The sequence below is a fragment of the Homo sapiens genome, chromosome 12, assembly GCF_000001405.40.
Source record: "Homo sapiens chromosome 12, GRCh38.p14 Primary Assembly".
Lineage (NCBI taxonomy): Eukaryota > Metazoa > Chordata > Mammalia > Primates > Hominidae > Homo > Homo sapiens.
In genome coordinates, this window is record NC_000012.12 from 46,239,658 (window position 1) to 46,261,698 (window position 22,041).

Consider the following 22,041-nt stretch of genomic DNA (forward strand, 5'->3'; position numbering starts at 1 on the left):
TGTTAGTGGAAAAATACTCACCTATTTATCTGACCATTTTCTACTTCGGTGAAATCATTGGAGTCATTGCTAATGTTATCATCCTCGGGCACTGTCATGTTTTGCAACTCAGTTAATTCGAGTCCACTTTTGAAATGCATCATGATTAGAAAGTGTCTGTAGTTTGAAAATTAGTCCAAATTTCTCCTGTTCTGAGTGTATTTAGAAGTAGATACCAAAATGGAAGCTTGACACCCCTAAAATATAGCAAAATAAAAAAATAACTAAACATATGAAACGCTACTGATTAAAAATAAATTACCACAAATAAACAAGTAGTTAATTTACTGATTATACAATTTTACATGTTGCTACTAGATGCATTAAAGCAATCTTTGTCTATCAAGTTATGGAGGTGTATCTAAATTTTATGCCTTTTATAGATTTCCTTCCATTTTTAACTATACAGTGAATCATGCCCCATAATCTTACTGATCAGGTTTATAAGAATATCATGTTAGCTGTAGGTAACAGAGACCCCCTTTTATGATATGAAGCAGTGTTGTTGTTGTTCTTTGAGATGGAGTCTCGCTCTTGTTGCCCAGGCTGGAGTGTAATGGCACAGTCTCGGCTCACTGCAACCTCTGCTTCCCTGGTTCAAGCGATTCTCCTGCCTCAGCCTCCCAAGTAGCTGTGATTACAGGCATGCGCCACCACGCCTGGCAAATTTTTGTATTTTTAGTAGAGACAGGTTTCTCCATGTTGGTCAGGCTGGTCTCAAACTACTGACCTCAGGTGATCCGCCCTCCTCAGCCTCCCAAAGTGTTCAAATTACAGGCGTGAGCCACCGCACCCGGCCTGAAGCAGTGCTTTTAAAATGAAAGTGATTCAGTTATTTTAATGTGTCAGATCGCAGAGCACACACATAGCTGGTACAGACTGCACAGACACAAAAGCACCTTCGGTTTAGCAATCCCAGCTTAAAGAAAAATGCAAATCCTGGGATCAAGCACGCAACCCTGGTAGTCAACCAGTAAACAACAAATTTATGTTTTGAAATTTTGCAAGTAGTGTATCCATCAACTGCAAGAGATTAAATCAATCTCTTCAATGAAATCACTTTATGTCAGGGAATTAGGGAATTAAAAACTCATACTCAAAGGATTTGGTTTAATCCAACTGCTACTATATTACTCATCAGAAATGAAAAACCTCCAGAGTTCACATTTTCTCCCATATGGATGACTGTGGTTTAAGTTTCTGAGGGATCACCCATAGTAAGTAGGGAGGGAGAAAAAGAATTTTGGGGGCACAGCAGCCTCACGAATTAAAAAGCAGATGGCTTGTCTATGGCCATGCCACCCTGAATGTGCCCAATCTTGTCTAAAAAGCAGATGGCCACAGAGGCAAATGCAACTTCAAAAGCAAGGCGTATAATGCATGGGGAGCCTCACCGTGATACTCTCAGCAAAGTGATGGGGACCATGGAATCAAGCAGAATGTCAATGAGCTGGTTTTTTTTAAAAAAAATGTCATTAGCAAATCCCCTTGGACAATGTTTTGAATTTTGTCTGATCCTAAATTCCATAAGATGGCTATAGCCTAGTTAAGGGTCAAACCTCAATGCGCCCAACTAAGTAATATTTCAAGAAGCATCTTACTAATTTCTATTATTTTGAAGACCCACAGAAAGTGCCTTAGAATGATAACTTTTCCAGGTATCCCCCTCTTTTCCTCTTTCCACAGCCAGGCCACACATTATTCTTTTCATTCACACAGTCTCCTATCTAGAATAAAACTTCCCTGGTTTCAGGATCCTGTAATGTGCCATAATATACACATGTTTATAACATCTCAGATTCTAGGAACCTTGTCTTGTCTTCAGGGCAAGGCACTTCCTCAAGAAGGAGGAGAGCCAGGACAGGGAGATTTGACCTCATGACTCCTGGTCTGAGGCTGATTCCTCTAACCACAGTGGTGGTGCTAGAGACGGCCCATTTCTGATTGTTTCTGGTACCTTCATGCAGTGGTGATGTTTTACCATCTGCCTTATGTTGCAAAAGCTGAAATGAATTAAAATGGTTGAACCCCACTCTTACCCCTTGGCCCTCTTTGATGAAAGCTGTCCAAATGGGCTAGACTGGGTAATTTCTAAAAGTCTTGCCACACTGACTCCCTCTTGTGTGACTACATCCCAGGCTACTGAAGTGATATTACAGGGCTGATAGAAAGTTAATTCAGCGGATGGCATTTCCAATCTGGGTTAAGGAGACTTTTCTCTCTACAAAATGGAAGGAAATAGGGCACCAGACAAAAAATTTTCTGCGGTAAGAAAGGATTGACTAATAATAGATCCCGAGTCTACTGTTTAAATTTTCATATTAAAAATACATATGTATGTATATATATGTGAGTGTGTGTATGCATATCACACACGCGTGCACGTGTGTAAAACTAGTAAGAAACAGAGAAGAAGGCAAAAGAATGAAAACAACAGATGAAGTCCTGGTCACTAAAATTAGGTCAATATTATGCAAATACTAGTACAAATTAATCACAAAGAATAATTTTTTATTATTATTAAATAACCTCTCTGAAACCTAACTTGTTCTTGAAAATCAAAATGGAAATTGAAGAGAAAAATTAACAAAATTAATGACACCTATCACCAAGGCCACACTTGCAAAAATAGTATCAGTTCAACTTATCATATATTTATTGAGCACTAAGTGATGAAGGGATTGAAAAAGCTTAAAAAATGTTAAATGCAGGGATCTCAGGCAGCTTCATAGAAAAGTCACATTTGGATTGGACCTTGAAATTTTTTTTTCCTAATTCTAAAAGTAATACAATGGCTGGGCATGGTGGCTCATATTTGTAATCTCAACACTTTGGGATGCCCAGGCAGGCAGATCACTTAAGCCCAAGAATTTGAGACAACATGGCAAAACCCCGTCTCTACAAAAAACAAACAACAACAAAAAAACAAAACAACAACAAAAAATCAAAACAAAACATTAGCTGGGTGTGTAGCACGTGCCTGTGGTCCCAGCTACTTGAGAGGCTGTGGTGGGAGATCATCTGAGCCTAGGGAGGTCAAAGCTCCACTGAAATGTGATCATGCCACTGTGCTCCAACCTGGGCAACAGAGTGAGACCCTGTCTCAAAAAAATAAATAAAAGCAACACATACTCACTGTAGAATCTTTAGAACAGATATTGTAAAAGAAATTCTACCACCCCCAAATGGGCCACTGTTAAGATTTTTCTTCCTTTTCTCTTTTCCTTTCCTTTCTCTAGCTCTAGCTCCTCTTCCTTCTCTTTTTTAAGTTTAGCATTGGTGATTTTAGATTGTTTTTAGCCTACTTTTTTCATTGAGTATCATATTGTAAGCATTTTGAAGAACAGAAGTGATTATTCTAAAAAATATTAGTTATTTATTAATAAATACTAATTTATTAAAAAATAAATGAATTAATTAATTAACTAATATAGGTTTGGTAGAAAAGTTAGAAAATACAATTTTTCAAATGGAATAAAATGAGCAAAAAGAAAAAAGTTCACCTGTTAGCTCAGCAAGCAGAGACGATCACTCTATATATATTGTTGTATGGCCTTCCAGGGTTTTTCTATGCACATAGATATAGTGCCTGGCACACAGTAGACACTCAATAAATATCTGTCAAATGAAAGAATGAGCACAAATAAAAAATATATACACATTTACAAAAATGGAAATGATACCAAACATTGAGTTTTTAAAACATTTTTTTCACTTAACAAGATATCATTTCCTATCCTGAGTTATGTCAGTAAGCACAGGTCTACACCATTACTGTTGATACTTGGTTAACTCTGCCAGAAATTGACATCTAACTGGTTATTGCTGGACATTCAGACTGCTTGGTGGAGAGAAGACTGACAGATGGAGATGGGGCCTGAGCTGAGACTTCACAGTGGAGGGAGAACATGGTCAATGGCACAGAGGCAGGAAGTGCAGATTGAGTTCAAGAAACAAAGAACTATAGTTTCACTGAAAAATAGAAATAATCATCAGGCTATACGATTAATTAAAAGGCAGACTAGGGTCATCATGTGAAGATCTTGGTGTTAACACAACCGTAATTACTATCTGTCAACATTTATAATAGGTTACGAATTACAATTTATTTAGCACAGAACATTTCTGATCCTTACCACAACCTTGTGAGGTACTTAAGGAAGGCATCAATTTCTTGTTATGCTTATTGGTACAATTTATTAATAGTACCAATGTAAAATACATAATCTTGCTATTTATACTGCATGGCGTTATAGATCAAAGGAGAGGATACACAAAGAAACTTATCTGGCCTTAAGTCAATTAGAGCCTATTTAACCAAGCAAGACCAACCCATCTAAAATGACACTGTACCTCAAAACAATTGCATGATATAGACTAAACTACATGGCAGAACGAAGAATAAGTCTGGTTCAGAGACACACATACCTACACAGTGCATACATGCATGAAGGAGGGAAGGAAGCAAGGAAGGAAAGAAGAAAGGAAAGTAGAACGGTGGAGAAATCAATGAGGCCAGGAGAGATCAGGTAAGTCTTAATTTAATAAAGAGATAGGACCTGAACTGTGTCTAACAATAGGTAATATTAGACTGGGGGAGAGAGAAGACTTTCCTTGTACCAAGGACAGTACTGGCAGCCTAATTGCTAACACTTTGTGGTGGATTGGTCCACTCAATATTTGTTCCCACCTCTTTTCAGTCCAGTTCTATAAAGGACAGAAAGTTGAAAACTACATTTCCCACACTCCCTTGCAGCTAGGTTTCTAGATATAATTTAGATTCCACCAATGGGAGAGTGGTGGTGGCCAGAGCAAGGCATCCACTTTACTGGTACCATTCTAGCAGGTGCTGCAGCAGCAGGTAGCCCTGGAGCCAACAGTTGTGGCTATGATTCTTGATCATCAGATTTGGCTCAAGTGATGTGTTCCTCTAGCATGCACTTGAGATAATGGCTTCCTGATTTCCAGACTTCCTGAAGGAGGCACAGATAGCATTTAACCTTAGCAAGCCAGTTGAATGTGTTATGTTAATTATTCCTAGAGGCCCAGCCTAGGGCCTGCACTGCCAGTAATTTTAACAAATTTTTAGGCACTGAATTCCCTGTATTAAATCTGTTTTCCTTAGCGTAAACAGATCTCTGTTAAATGAAACTAAACCCTGACTGATATCCTTCATTTTATTTCTCCCTTAAAATTTTTTTTATTACTGGAAATTTTAAACACATGTAAAAGTAGACAATGGTATAATGAACTCCCATATACCAACTTCAATTATCAATTCAGGCCTGTCTTGTTAGATTTTTTTATGCCCACCATCACCTGGAATTATTTTGCAGCAGGTCCTTGATAACATATCATCTATAAATATTTCAGCAAGAATCTCTAAAAGGCAAGAACCTCCTTCTTAAACAATACCACTGCATCACTATCAAACCCAAAAAATAACAAAAATTGGGTAGCACTACATATCTTGCCACATACACTTAATTCTAAAACTTGTTATGAATCATCATTGGTTTTTTATTGTGAAGAACTAATATAATCAGACCTCTGCTAGCTCAACTCCTGAGAATCAATTATATAAGCTAGGTCAGTGGTTTTGAGAAAGTATTAGTAGACATTTCTCCAAAGAATACATAAAAATGGCCACAAGTATGTGAAAAGGTGCTCAACATTATTAACTGTCAGGGTAATGCAAATCCATACTGCAATGAGCTATCACCTCACAGCTCTTAGGACAGCCATTATCAAAAGTCAAGAGATAACAAGTGTTGGCAAGGGTATGGAGAAAAGGAAATCTTTGTACACTGTTGGAGGGAAGGTAGTTTGGTGCACCATTATAGAAAACAGTATGGAGGTTCCTAACAAAATTAAAAGTAGAACTTTACTGTTTCATATGACACAGTAATCCCACTTCTGGATATACACCCAAAGAAAATGAAATCACCACCTCATAAAGACATGTGCGCTGAGCCTGGGGAGGTCAAGACTCCACTGAGCTGTGATCATGCCACTATGCTCCAACCTGGGTAACAGAGTGAGACCCTGTCTCAAAAAATAAATAAAAGTAACACATACTCACTGTAGAATCTTCAGAACAGATATTGTAAAAGAAATTCTACCACCCCCAAATGGGCCACTGTTGAGATTTTTCTTCCTTTTTTATTTTTATTTCCTTTCTTTAGCTCTAGTCCCTCTTCCTTCTCTTTTTTAATTTAGCATTGGTGATTTTAGATTGTTTTTAGCCTACTTTTTAAATTGTGTATTGTATTGTAAGCATTTTCAAGAACAGAAGAGGATCTTTTAAAAAATATTATTTCTTGATCTCTGTCACGGTCCGTTCAAAGAGGGCCAAATAGGAACAGCTCCCTTCTGCAGCTCCCAGCGTGAACAAAGCAGAAGACAGGTGATTTCTGCACTTCCAACTGAGGTACCTGGTTCATCTCATTGGGACTGGTTGGACAGTGGGTACAGCCCACAGAGGGTGAGGCGAAGCAGGGCGGGGTGTTGCCTCACTCAGGAAGTGCAAGGGGTCTGGGAATTTCCCTCGTCAGGCCAAGGGAAGCCGTGACAGACTGTACATGGAAAAACAGGACATTCCCACTCAAATACTGCGTTTTTCCAAAGGTCTTAGCAAACAGCAAACCAGGAGATTGTATCCTGCGCCTGGATCGGCAGGTCCCATGCCCACAGAACCTTGCTCGCTGCTAGTGCAGCAGTCTGAGATTGACTTGCCAGGCAGCAACCTGGCAGCGGAAGGGGTGTCCACCATTTCTGAGGCTTGAATAGATAAACAAAGCAGCCAAGGAAGCTCGAACTGGGTGGAGCCCACCACAGCGGAGCAAGGCTTGCTGTCTCTATAGACCCCACCTCTGGGGGCAGAGCATAGCTGAAGAAAAGGCAGCAGAAACTTCTGCAGACTTAAACGTACCTGTCTGACAGCTCTGAAGGGAGCAGTGGTTCTCCCAGCATGATGTTTGAGCTCTGAGAACAGACAGACTGCCTCCTCAAGTGGGTCCCTGACCCCCGTTTAGCCTAACTGGGAGACACCTCCTAGTAGGGGCTGACTGACACCTCATACAAGCAGGAGCCCCTCTTGGACAAAGCTTCCAGAGGAAGGATCAGGCAGCAATATTTGCTGTTCTGCAATATTTGCTGTTCTGCAGCCTCCACTGGTGATACCTGGGCAAACAGGGTCTGGAAAGAACCTCCAGCAAATTCCAACAGACCTGCAGCTGAGGGACCTGACTGTTAAAAGGAAAACTAATAAACAGAGGGGAATAGCATCAACATCAACAAAAAGGACATCCACACCAAAACCCCATCTGTAGGTCACCAACATCAAAGACCAAAGGTAGATAAAACCACAAAGATGGGGAAAAAATGGAGGAGAAAAGCTGAAAATTCTAAAAACCAGAGCGCCTCTTCTCCTCCAAAGGATGGCTACTCCTCGCCAGCAATGGAACAAAGATGGACGGAGAATGAGTTTGACAAGTTGGCCAAAGTAGGCTTCAGAAGGTCGGTAATAACAAACTTCTCCAAGCTAAAGGAGGATGTTCTATCCCATCACAAGGAAGCTAAAAACCTTGAAAAAACATTAGATGAATGGCTAACTAAAATAAACAGTGTAGAGAAGACCACAAATGACCTGATGGAGCTGAAAACCATGGCACGAGAACTATGTGATGTATGCACAAGCTTCAACAGCCAATTCGATCAAGTGGAAGAAAGGGTATCAGTGATTGAAGATCAAATTAATGAAATAAAGTGAGAAGAGAAGTTTAGAGGAAAAACAGGAAAAAGAAATGAACAAAGCCTCCAAGAAATATGGGACTATGTGAAGAGACCAAATCTACGTTTGACTGGTGTACGTGAAAGTGATGGGGAAAATGAAACAAAGTTAGAAAACACTCTTCAGGATATTGTTCAGGAGAACTTCCACAACCTAGCATGGCAGGCCAACACTCAAATTTAGGAAATACAGAGAACACCACAAAGATAGTCTTCAAGAAGAGCAACTCCAAGACACATAATTGTCAGATTCACCAAAGTTGAAATGAAGGCAAAAATGTTAAGGGCAGCCAGAGAGAAAGGTCGGGTTACCCACAAAGGGAAGCCCATCAGACTAACAGCAGATCTCTCAGCAGAAACTCTACAAGCCAGAAGAGAGTGGGGGCCAACATTCAACATTCTGAAAGAAAATAATTTTCAACCCAGAATTTCATATCCAGCGAAACTAAGCTTCATAAGTGAAGGAGAAATAAAATCCTTTACAGACAAGCAAATGCTGAGAGATTTTGTCACCACCAGGCCTGCCATACAAGAGCTCCTGAAGGAAGCACTAAACATGGAAAGGAACAACCAGTACCAGCCACTGCAAAAACATGCCAAATTGTAAAGACCATCGATGCTGTGAAGAAACTACATCAATTAACGAGCAAAATAACCAACTAACATCATAATGACAGGATCAAACTCACACATAACAATATTAACCTTACATGTAAATGGGCTAAATGCCCCAATTAAAAGACACAGACTGGCAAATTGGATAAAGACTCAAGACCCGTAATTGTGCTGTATTCAAGAGACCCATCTCACGTGCAAAGACACACATAAGCTCAAAATATAGGGATGGAGGAAGATCTACCAAGCAAATGGAAAGCAAAAAAAAGTAGGGGTTGCAATCCTAGTCTCTGATAAAACAGACTTTAAATGAACAAAGATCAAAAGAGACAAAGAAGGCCATAATGGTAAAGGGATCAATTCAACAAGAAGAGCTAACTATCCTAAATATATATGCACCCAATACAGGAGCACCCAGACTCATAAAGCAAGTCCTTAGAGACCTGCAAAGAGACTTAGACTCCCACACAATAATAATGGGAGGCTTTAACACCCATTAGACAGATCAACGAGACAGAAGGTTAACAAGGATATCCAAGACTTGAACTCATCTTTGCACCAAGTGGACCTAATAGATATCTACAGAACTCTCCACCCCAAATCAACAAAATATACATTCTTCTCAGCACTACATCGCACTTATTCCAAAACTGACCACATAGTTGGAAGTAAAGCACTCCTCAGCAAATGTAAAAGAACGGAAATCACAACAAACTGTCTCTCAGACCACAGTGCAATCAAATTAGAACTCAGGATTCAGAAACTCACTCAAGGCCAGGTGCGATGGCTCACGCCTGTAATCTCAGCACTTTGGGAGGCCGAGGCGGGCAGATCACGAGTTCAGGAGATCAAGACCATCCTGGCTAACACATTGAAACCCCGTCTCTACTAAAAATACAAAAAATTAACCAGGTGCGGTGGCGGGTGCCTGTAGTCCCAGCTACTTGGGAGGCTCAGGCAGGAGAATCGCTTGAACCTGGGAGGCAGAGTTTGCAGTGAGCCAAGATCGTGCCACTGCACTCCAGACAGGGTGATAGAGTGAGACTCCGCCTCAAAAAAAAAAAAAAAAAAAAGAAACTCACTCAAAACCGCACAACTACATGGAAACTGAGCAACCTGCTCCTGAATGACTACTGGGTAAATAACAAAATGAAGGCACAAATAAATATGTTCTTTGAAGCCAATGAGAACAAAGACACATCATACCAGAATCTCTGGGACACATTTAAACCAGTGTGTAGAGGGAAATTTATAGCACTAAATGCCCACAAGAGAAAGCAGGAAAGAGCTAGAAACAACACCCTAACATCACAATTAGAGGAACTAGAGAAGCAAAAGCAAACAAATTCAAAAGCTAGCAGAAGGTAAGAAATAACTAAGATCGGAGCAGAATTGAAGGAGATAGAGATACAAAAAAACCCTTCAAAAAATCAATGAATCCTGGAGCTGGTTTTTTGAAAAGATCATCACAATTGATAGACCACTAGCAAGACTAATAAAGAAGAAAAGAGAGAAGAATCAAATAGATGCAATAAAAAATGATAAAGGGGATATCACCACCAATCCCACAGAAATACAAACTACCATCAGAGAATACTATAAACACCTCTACACAGATAAACCAGAAAAATCTAGGAAAAATGGCTGAATTCCTGGGCACATACACCCTCTCAACACTAAACCAGGAAGAAGTGGAATCTCTGAATAGACCAATAACAGGCTGTGAAATTGAGGCAATAATTAATAGCCTACCAAGTAAAAGAAGTCCAGGACCAGACAGATTCACAGACGAACTCTACCAGAGGTACAAAGAGGAGCTGGTACCATTCCTCCTGAAACTATTCTAATTAATGGAAAAAGAGGGAATCCTCCCTAACTCATTTTATGAGGCCCTCATCATCTGATACCAAAGCCTGGTAGACACACAACAAAAAAAGAGAATTTTAGGCCAATATCCCTGATGAACATTGATGTGAAAATCCTCAATAAAATACTGGCAAATAAAATCCAGGAGCACATCAAAAGCCTTATCCACCACAATCAAATTGACTTCATCTCTGGGATGCAAGGTTGGTTCAACATACGCAAATCAATAAACCTAATCCATCACATAAACAGAACCAACCACAAAAACCACATGATTATCTCAATAGATGCAGAAAAGGCCTTCGACAAAATTCAACAGCGCTTCAGGCTAAAAACTCTCCATCAACTGGGTATTGATGGAACGTTTCTCAAAATAACAAGAGCTATTTATGACAAACCCACAGCCAATATCATACCAAATGGGCACAAACTGGAAGCATTCCCTTTGAAAACTGGCACAAGACAGGGATGCCCGCTCTTACCACTCCTATTCAACACAGTGTTGGAAGTTCTGGCCAGGGCAATCAGGCAAGAGAAAGAAATAAAGTGTATTCAATTAGGAAAAGACAAAGTCAAACTGTCCCTATTTGCAGATGACATGATTGTATATTTAGAAAACCCCTTCATCTTAGCCCAAAATCTCCTTAAGCTGATAAGCAACTTCAGCAAAGTATCAGGATACAAAATCAATGTGCAAAAATCACAACCATTCCTATAAACCAATAACAGACAGACAAACAGAGAGCCAAATCATGAGTGAACTCCCATTCACAATTGCTACAAAGAGAATAAAATACCTAGGAATCCAACTTACAAGGGATGTGAAGGACCTCTTCAAGGAGAACTACAAACTACTGCTCAACGAAATAAAAGAGGACACAAACAAATGGACTAACATTCCATGCTCATGGATAGGAAGAATTGATATTGTGTAAATGGCCATACTGCCCAAGGTAATGTATAGATTCAATGCCATCCTCATCAAGCTACCAATGACTTTCTTCACAGAATTGGAAAAAAAACTACTTTAAAGTTCATATGGAACCAAAAAAGAGCCCACATTGCCAAGACAATCTTAAGCAAAAAGAACAAAGCTGGAGGCATCATGCTACCTGACTTCAAACTATGCTACAAGGCTACAGTAATCAAAACAGCATGGTACTGGTACCAAAACAGATATATGGACCAATGGAACAGAACAGAGGCCTCAGAATTAACACTACACATCTACAACCATCTGATCTTTGACAAACCTGACAAAAGCAAGAAATGGGGAAAGGATTCACTATTTAATAAATGGTGCTGGGAAAACTGACTAGCCATGTGTAGAAAGCTGAAACTGGATCCCTTCTTGACACCTTATACAAAAATTAATTCAAGATGGATTAAAGACCTAAGTGTTAGACCTGAAACCATAAAAACCCTAGAAGAAAGCCTAGGTAATACCATTCAGGACATAGGCATGGGCAAGGACTTCATGACTAAAACACCAAAAGCAATGGCAACAAAAGCCAAAATTGACAAATGGGATCTAATTAAACTAAAGAGCTTCAGCACAGCAAAAGAAACTACCATCAGAGTGAACAGGCAACCTACAGAATGGGAGAAAATCTACCCATCTGACAAAGGGCTCATATCCAGAATCTACAAAGAACTTAAATAAATTTTCAAGAAAAAAACAAACAACCCCAGCAAAGAGTGGGCAAAGGATATGAACAGACACTTCTCAAAAAAGACATTTATGGAGCCAACAGACACATGGAAAAAATGCTCATTATCACTGGTCATCAGAGAAATGCAAATCAAAACCACAATGAGATACCATCTCACTCCAGTTAGAATGGCGGTCATTTAAAAAGTCAGGAAACAACAGAGGCTGGAGAGGATGTGGAGAAATAGGAATGCTTTTACACTCTTGGTGGGAGTGTAAATTAGTTCAACCATTGTGGAAGACAGTGTGGCAATTCCTCAAGGATCTAGAACCAGAAATACCATTTGACCCAGCAATCCCATTACTGGGTATATACCCAAAGGATTATAAATCTTGCTACTATAAAGACACATGCACACGTATGTTTATTGTGGCACTATTCACAATAGGAAACACTTGGAACCAACCCAAATGTCCATCGATGATAGACTGGATTAAGAAAATGTGGCACATATACACCATGGAATACTATGCAGCCATAAAAAAGGATGAGTTCATGTCCTTTGAAGGGACATGAATGAAGCTGGAAACCATCATTCTCAGCAAACTCTCACAAGGACAGAAAATCAAACACTGCATGTTCTCACTCATAGGTGGCATTGAACAATGAGAACAGTTGGACACAGGGAGGGGAACATCACACACCGGGGCCTGTCACAGGGTGGGGGCCTGGGGGAGGGATAGCATTACGAGAAATACCCAATGTAAATGACGAATTAATGGGTGCAGCAAACCAACATGGCACATGTATATATATGTAACAAACCTGCACGTTGTGCACATGTACCCTAGAACTATAATATATATACCCTAGAAGTATAATAAAATATATATATTCATTCTTTATTAATAAATAAATGCTAATTAATTTATTTAAAAATAATTACATGAATGAATTAATTAATATAGATTTGGTATAAATGTTAGAAAATACAATTTTTCAAATGGAATAAAACAACCAAAAAGAAAAAAGTTCACCTGTTATCTCAGCAAGCAGAGATGATCACTCATATATATATATAATTGTTGTATGGCCTTCCATGGTTTTTCTATGCACATAGAAATGTTCTTTCTATGTTCGTTGCAGCATTATTCACAATAGCCAAGATATGGAAACAATCTAAGTGCCCATGGATGTGAATGGATAAGAAACACAGGCACATATAAAATAAAATGTTATTCAACCTTAAAAAAGAAGGGGATCCTCTCATTTGCCACAACCTGGATGAATCTGGAGGACATAATGGTAAGTAAAACAATCCAGAAACAGAAAGAAAAATACTGCATGATCTCATGTATACATGGTATCTTTTTTTGAAAAAAAAAAAAAAAAAGTCTGATACACAGACATAGAGAATAAAACAGTTGTTATAAAGAGTTTGGGGAGGAAATGTGGAGATGTAGGTCAAAGGATATGAAGTTGCAGATGTGTAGGATGAATAAGTCTAGGGAGCAAATGTACAACATGAGGACTGTAGTTAATACAGTTTGAGTATTTCTTATCAAAAATGTTTGGGACCAGAAGTGTTACAAGAAAGGGGTCCTGATCTGGACCCCAAAAGAGGGTTCTTGGATCTCAGGAAAGAAAGAATTCAGGGCAAGCCCAAGGTGCAAAGCAGAAGCAAGATTATTAAGAAAGTAAAGGAATAAAAGAATGGCTACTCCACAGACAGAGCGGCCCCAAGGGCTGCTGGTTGCCCATTTTTATGGTTATTTGTTGATGATATGCTAAACAAAGTGGATTATTCATGCCTCCCCTTTTTAGACCATATAGGGCAACTTCCAGATGTTGCCATGGCATTTGTAAACTGTCATGGCACTGGTGAGAGTGTAGCAGTGAGGACGACCAGAGGTCACTCTCATCACCATCTTGGTTTTGGTGGGTTTTAGCCAGCTTCTTTACTGCAACCTGTTTTATCATTAAGGTCTTTATGACCTGTACTTTGTGCTAACCTCCTATCTCATTCTGTGACTTAGAATGCTTTAACCATCTGGAAATGCAGCTCAGTGGCTCTCAGCCTCATTTTACTCAGCTCCTATTTAAAATGGAGTTGCTCTGGTTCACATGCCTCTGACATTTCCCCCCTCCCTTTTATAAGAGAACCCTTAATCCTAAGGGCTGCACAGGGATGAAAATCCATCTTTAGTAACTTCTTCAGGCTGAATAGGGGTGATGGTATTCCTACCTAACTATGAGAATATCTTGTGTTCAGGGTAGAGACGCGCTCAGTCAGAAAGCATCAGTATGGTGAGGGACATTTATGACTCTTAAGTTCTGACAAAAAGTAATATTTGGAAGATGAATAAGTGTTCAATTTAAGAAAACATTGAGTAAGCTTATCCTTATGCCTATACAGAGTGCCATAGCAATGTATTCCACAAGAGTAAAGCAAAATAAGTAAAAATTATCTCAAGTAAACTAAATTATAAGAAGTTCCAAATTATAAGGGCAACTGTTGGAACCAAGCTGATATGACATTGCTAGATGATTCCAATATGTCCAGAATTGGAATATTGATCCAGATTTTTACATTACTCATCCCTCTTGTTTCTTCTGAGCAGCAGCTAGAGATCACTGGTTGGTTCACAGGAATAAATTGCAGCAACTAACTTAAAAGCAACTGATGAGACTAGAATTTAATAACAAGTGTAGCATAATTCTTGAAACACAGTTTCTCTCTCCAGTTTCCCATTTTTTACTAAAGACAAATCATAGTAACACTGATTTGCTTTATTATACTTGGCCTGATTTTTTGTATAAAGTGCAGCAAGAATAATTATTTTTCACATAAGCCTTTTGTAATTTCGCTTTGATGGAACTCTGCTCCATAGAAGGAATCTCAGATAAGACTTTTTAGAACCAAGCCTTGCAATGAGTTTGAACCCTCAAATACCTATGAGTTGGGTAAATTTCTCTCCTTTTGAGGTCTGTGTAGGCAAGTATGAGGCCAATTCCCCAAAGGGATTTGCTTGGCTTTACAAGTCAGGTTTGATTCCTTAAAGGAAAGCATGCTGTTCCAGTCAAAGCCTTGGTAAAATAACCAGTTTCTCCAATTGTGTCCTGTTACAAAAGAAAACAGATTCTTATTGCACTTATGCAAATAACTATATTGCTAAAAGTTGAGAATACTCACAGATAGTTTCCAGATTCTGGGGAAATCAGGTAGAGAGAAACAAACATGCTCCAAATTTTGTTCAGAGGAGTATACTTTACATAATTGCTACAAGCTGTAAATAGCTCAAAAGTTTCCTTGACTCTGAAAAACAAAACAAAGGGTCAGCAACATTTTAAGCAAAGTCAAAAAGATTACTTTAGTCTTCCATTGTTTCGGTTAATTTAGTTAACCCCTGTTCTTGATATTCATGAACATTTCACCTCTCTGTGAGAGTTCTGAAAGTTTTTCTTCTATTCTAATGTCACAATTTCCAAAGTTATCAGAAGCTTGCATTTTAGAACATCTGTCAAAGTCCTATTGTTGATTATAAAACCACCTTTTAAAGAGGATTAAAACAAGAAAACGATTGTCTGTGGATAACAAAATCTTTTAGGACAGCCACTATTAAAGCCACGATTGACTAGGAAATTTGGGTTACCTCTGTGCACACAGTAATTTTATGTAACAATTATAATTATTAATAACATACAGATCATGAGAAGGTTTTTCCTCTAAGAAAAACCTGTTGTGCTTTTACTCCAATGTCTAACTTATGGAAAAAATGAATAATACCCCTTTAGTTTTAGCCAATGTCCACATACAGAATCCTTTTTTACAAGATTAGTTTTTTACACTTTCCATAACTTGCTTAAACCTTCAGCTTTATTCTATCTAACTGAAAACAATTCTTTAATCCTTTAATTTGGGCAAGAAAAATCCACATTCCCATACCTTCTTATAATCTTTCACCAAAAACACATTTCACTTTTCTTACACACTTTGCATGTAGAACTGTTCTTTCAGTAGTCTTAATTATATGTTACAATGCTAACTCTTTTACTTTTGATGAAAACCTTGGTAAGTTTGGGATTTTAATTATGTACTAGGTGTGCAGCCTAGGATAGCACACAGAAGTGCAGATAAGGACTGACTTTTTCCAGCATAGCTACGGGGTGTGGCTAACTCCACATGTCCCTGGCCTTATCTAGAATCTAATGCTCCAAAGTAGCCAAAGTAGGTAAACTGAACAATTTTCAAAAGTCAAAGGGCTGGGTGTGGTGGCTCAAGCCTGTAATCCCACCACTTTGGGAGGCCGAGGCGGGTGGATCACAAGGTCAGGAGATCAAGACCATCCTGGCTAACATGGTGAAAGAAACCCTGTCTCTACTAAAAATACAAAAAATTAGCTGGGCATGGTGGCAGGCGCCTGTAGTCCAGCTACTTGGGAGGCTGAGGCAGGAGAATGGCGTGAACCTAGGAGGCAGAGCTTACAGTGAATCGAGATCACGCCACTGCACTCCAGCCTGGGCAACAGAGAGAGGTTCTATCTCAAAAAAAAAAAAAAAAAAAAAGTCAAAGCAGCAGTTTATGACCTTAAGGCATTTAGCAAACTTAATATCTGACCTGCATAATTTAGACCAAATGTCTTTATTTTACCAGTAATCTTTAAAACTGTTTTTATTTCCCAAAGATTACTTAAGTCACATGAACTAAAAGGCATTACACTTTTTACTTATGTGACAAAATATTTGATTTAAGCTTATTATTATTAAAGCAATTAATTAAAATTCTTTTATATTACACACACATACTACATATAAATACATAGACAAACAGAAGACAAAGGATGATCCCTTAAGCTGGGAATTCAACCCCGAACCCGGGCTGCCATTGTGATGGCAGAGACCAAGAGAAAGTACTGCCACGTGGTTGCAAGGTCAAGCTCCCAAGGACATGACTGACCGGAAGGAAACCTCATCCAGTTTGCGCGCGCGCGCGCACACACACACACACACACACACAGAGAGAGAGAGAGAGAGAGAGAGACCAGAAGTCTGGCTGGTAAGAAATTCTTACCCTTTGGCCAGCATGCCAGGCTTCTGGGTTCCCTCTCCCTGAGACCTGGCTGGCTGCATCACAGCCCTGGGGGCCAAGCTGCAACACAAAGGAAAATTATCTTTTTCCATCTGGCCAGAACAAAATATGTGTGACAAAACATAGACATTACCACTGTGCTTAACACCCAATATCAAACTGGCAAGGCTCAAACTTGCCCCCATCATTGTTAATCCAACCTCCAACCAAGAGTTTCAACATGTGGTGTCTGGGTAAGATGGTCACCCTGAGTAATAGAAAAGATAATAAAGGGAAAGGAGAGAGAGAAAAGCATTGCCTGTGGCAGGGTGGAGAAGGCGAAATGCTCAGGGAGGCCAGAAAAAGACCCACCCATTGCAGCACCACTGAAAAGTTCAGGCGGCCACTTGTCAGTCAAGAAGTGATCTTTTCCAGCAGTCCCATCAGCTCTCAAGTTTCCCCTTTTAGGGAGGAAAAAGCATTCCGTGTCCCAAGATTCTGTACATGCCTAATCCTGTCACCCACAGCCATCAGCAGAGACTGCCAGGCAGATTAATCCAAAGAGAATAGCAGTTAACAGGCTGTAGTACCAAGCCCATTCTTAGCCAAGAGGGATTTTATGAGAAGGACTTTACTGAGAGGGACTTCTAACCCCCTAAATCTTGGAAGGATTTCTAACACTCCTAATTTGGGCCTCTAACCCATTTGGGTGTCCTTGTCTTTTATCAAGAGGAGGCTTTAACCCTCTCTGTCTTAGGAGAAACTCTAACTCTCCTAAGTTGGGCCTCTAACCCAATCCCATTCTTTACCCAGGTACCCCACCACTTACCCCAAGTCGGCTGATCAATCTATTGCCTTTGGGTTGGGAGGCTTCTTCGGTATTGTACCTTCCGGGTTTGGCAGAAAAATGTTACCAGACCCCACCACTTACTCAAAGTTAGCTTTTGAGTTGGGGGTTTCCTCACTAGTTGCTTCTGCGGTGGCCAGAAAGATGTCACAGGACCCCACCACTTACCCAAAGCTAGCCTTTGGATCAGGGGTTTCCTCACAATAGTCGCTTCCACAGTCGCCAGAAAGATGTTACAAGACCCCAACACTTACTGCGGGTTTCTGCACTATAGCCCCTTCGTGGTTGCCAGAAAGATGTTACAGGAAAAGGGTCCCAATCCAGACCCCAGAAGATGGGGTTCTTAGATCTCGCACAAGAAAAAATTCAGGGTGAGTCCATAGAGTAAAGCGAAATGGCTACGCCATAGACAGAGCAGCTTCGAGGGCTGCTGGTTGCTGATTATGATTATTTCTTGATGATTTGCTAAACAAGGGGTGAATTATTCATGCTTCCCATTTTTAGACCATATAGGGTTCCTGACATTGCCATGGCATTTGTAAGCTGTCATGGTGCTGGTGGGAGTGTAGCAGTGAGGACGACCAGAGGTCACTCTCATCATCATCTTGGTTTTGGTGGGTTTTAGCCATCTTCTTTACTGCAACCTGTTTTATCATTAAGGTCTTTACAACCTGTACTTTGTGCTAACCTCTTATCTCATTCTGTGACTTAGAATGCTTTAACCATCTGGAAACGCAGCTCAGTGGCTCTCAGCCTCATTTTACTCAGCTCCTATTTAAGATGGAGTTGCTCTGGTTCACATGCCTCTGACAGAAGTAGTTCAGATTTTTGATTTTTTGGATTTTGGAATATTTGCATACATATTATGAGATATCCTGGGGACGAGACCCAAGTGCAAACTTGAAATTCATTTGTTTCATATACACCTTACAAACATACCCTAAAGGCAATTTTACATAATATTTTAAATAATTTTGTGCATAAGACAAAGTTTTCACTGCATTTTGACTGTGACCTATCACAGGAGGTTAGATGTAAAATGTTCTACTTGGGCATCGTGTCAGTGCTCAGAGTTTTAAGTTTTGGACTTTTGTGGGTTTTGGACTTTTTAAAATGTGTTTATTTATTTATTTATTGAGATGAAATCTCACTCTGTCACCCAGGCTGGAGTGTAGTGATGAGATCTCTGCTCACTGCAACCTCCGCCTCCCAGATTCAAGAGAATCTCCTGCTTCGGCCTCCCGAGTACCTGGAATTACAGGCACATGCCACCATGCCCAGCTAATTTTTATATTTTCAGTGGAGATGGGGTTTCACTATGTTGGCCAGGCTGGTCTTGAACTCCTAACCTTAGATGATCCACCTAACTCAACCTCCCAAAGTGCTGGGATTACAGGCGTGAGCCACTGTGCCCAGCCAGGGTTTTGGATTTTTGGATTAGGGATGCTCAACCTGTAATATTGTATTATATATATGGGATTTTTGCTAAAAGAGTGGATTCTAGGTGCTCTTGCCACAAAAAAGAAGTGACCACGTGAGATGATGGATATATTAATTTTCTTGACTCTAGTAACCATTTTACCACGCATATGTATACCAAAACATCACGTTGCACACCTTAAATACATATAATTTTTAAAGCGGAGAAAGTGTTAAGCCTAAGGTCAACAATGGTTCTATAATTCCGGGCCAGCTAGTCCCATAACTGACTGTGTCTGTTTACCCACTTGGGGTTCTTGGATCCTCAGGGTTCATAGATGATAGTGATAAGGATCTAAGAACTAACATGGATCTATATTTCAAAAGGCCTCAAACAGGCTAAACAGGTTAACTAAATGGTGAGGTATCCATACTGTTAGCAAGGCTTCATTAACTTGATGTGATAATCCTAAATTTGATTGGCAATTTTATATACCTTTGAGTAATAAAAATGGGAAATGAATTAATATATTAAAGTCAACACTCAAAACTCATTAAATAGTATACTTAATATCTGGACACTGCATTGCATATAATTTATACTTTAATTAAAATAAAAAATTAAAGCCGATCATCAAAATCTTTGAAAATCTGGGGCTTTTGGAAGGTGGGGAATAATAAAAATGGCCTTTGGTAGTGAAAAACCTGGGAAGCTAGTAAGTGGTCTCAGAAAAATAAGTGGTTTTACTCTCTTCTTGCCCAAGACTAATGGTTTAACCTGTGCTTAAGGTCCTGGCTCTTCTGCTAGGACCTTGTTTCTCTACTTCCTCTCTCTGCCTTCCCTTCTTGACATCCATCATCCTCAGAGCTCTTTATCTGGAACATAACTCTGTCTAGAACCTTGAACTATCATCACACCCCTCTCTTTACTGCTAGCAGTCTCTAAACTACTTGCTCCTGCCACCACTCCCCTGAAATCATGCCTGATTAGGAAATTCTGGCTCCACCACTTAGAAGCTGTGTAGCCCCAGGAAAGAAGGTTAACTTCTCTTTGCCTTAGTTTCCTCATCTGTAAAATGGACTTAAAGCAATACCCATCTGATACAGTCATAAAGATTCCATGACTTGGTCCATGTGCAGCACTTAGAACAGCGTCTGGCCCGGGTTTTGTAAATTATTGTGACCATTGTTCCTGTTTTCTGACTTCTCCCAAATAACTCCACACTGCATCCTCCCAAGACCTTCTTGGTCTCCTCTGCCAGATCCCTCCTCCTCCCAACTTTCTGTGTAGAAGTAGCTCTTTGGGCCTCGACTCTTCTTGCTCCACATATTCCAAATTCTTTCCTTTTTAGGGCTTCAGGGCTGTAGTGTCAAGTTTCATTCTACAAAGGCATCTTTCAGATCTTTCTTCCCAGTCTTTTTCACTTTATAAAACTAGAATTCCTTTGCGTTATGAAATAGGATCTCCCTCATAAATACAACTTGATCATGATCATGCCACTTAACATGTCACATGTTTCTTCATCTGTAAAATGAGAGGGCATGAAAGAGAGGTTATCTCTCAGGTTCTTTCCTTCTCAGAAACATTTCCATAAATTCTTTTCAGACTCCTGCTGCCTTCTGGACTGCTCCATTAGGATGTTTATCATTACCTCAGATTCCACATGCCTGAAGCAGAACGCATCACCTGACCTCACATGCCAGCATTCTATTTCTGTTAAAGATATAATGCACCTTCTCCTTGTCACTCAGACTTGAAACTTGAGTATGGCTTTCATACAACCTCATATCTAATCAGTTGCCAAGTCCTGCCAACATTCCTTCACAAAATCCTTTTCCTTTCCCTTATTCCTTACAGTTTCACAGCCTGAACTTTGCCACAGTCACTCTCCGCCACGCTACCTCCTGCTTCTTGCCCTCTCCCACCTATAGAGGCAGATTCTTCCTGAAAAGACAGTCTTGCACATTCCTCTTTCTGCCTTGCCAATCATAACTGTTCCCTCTACAGGATGAGGTCTAATCTCTAGAACCTCAGACAGCTTTCTCTTTAATTTATGCTCCCACTATATTCCTTCTAATTTTCCATTCCTGCAATGGGTCTACTCTTATGCAGTTTTCTGCTTTGTTCACACCATCCCCCTGATCCTGGACACACCCTCTCCACCTTCCCATGAAGCCTATGCTAACTTAAGTATGACCTTTCTTTCAAAGCCCAGCTTGCTTGCTTTTTTAAAAAATTCAAGCCAACTCTTCTGTGATGCCTTTCTCCAATGACCAACGCAGGCATTGCCAAATACCTCCTGGGGGCAGGGAGAGGGACATAATTGTTCCAGTTGAGAACCTGCTTGACTGTTTACCTGTGATGAATTCTTACAGCAGTTTCGTGTAGATTACTCACTGGCTTATAGCAAGGGGGCTCATATTTCAGTAATCTTTTTATTTACAATTTCAATTCCTTGGGGACAAGGACCATACATCTCAAAGGTCTAGTATATGGTGACAGTAAACACATGTTAACAATAAAAATGAGGACTAAATTTAAAAAGAAAGCTATGATCACCTGCCTGCAGACAATATATTCAGTGAGCATCACAAACACCATCTTCCCATGGAAAACAAAACAAAAATGGGAACATGAAGCAATGTGGATAGCCCTACCTCATAGTTTTCATTAAGTTTACCACCTGATCTCCTTTACATTTGATCTGGGCGTGTGGGATTTATGTAAAAATGCATTTAGTATT

At 39.8% G+C, this 22,041-nt stretch overlaps 1 protein-coding gene across 52 annotated transcripts in view; it reads right to left on the reverse strand.

Moving 5' to 3' along the window:
* The window catches only part of SLC38A1 (solute carrier family 38 member 1), an 85,981-nt gene that overhangs the window by 56,595 nt on the left and 7,345 nt on the right, over positions 1 to 22,041 (reverse strand). For 21 of the 52 annotated variants that reach the window (NM_001077484.2, NM_030674.4, XM_047429589.1 and 18 more), the window contains exons 2-3: positions 3,543 to 3,657; positions 22 to 236 (exon numbers count right to left, since the gene is read on the reverse strand). In NM_001077484.2, coding sequence (NP_001070952.1) covers positions 22 to 143 — 122 coding nt within the window. In that variant the 5' untranslated portion in view covers positions 144 to 236; positions 3,543 to 3,657. Of the gene's footprint in view, positions 1 to 21; positions 237 to 3,542; positions 3,658 to 13,000; positions 15,280 to 17,034; positions 17,113 to 22,041 lie in introns of those variants that run through there. The other 31 variants (XM_047429588.1, NM_001278387.2, XM_047429593.1 and 28 more) reach the window with 6 other exon arrangements.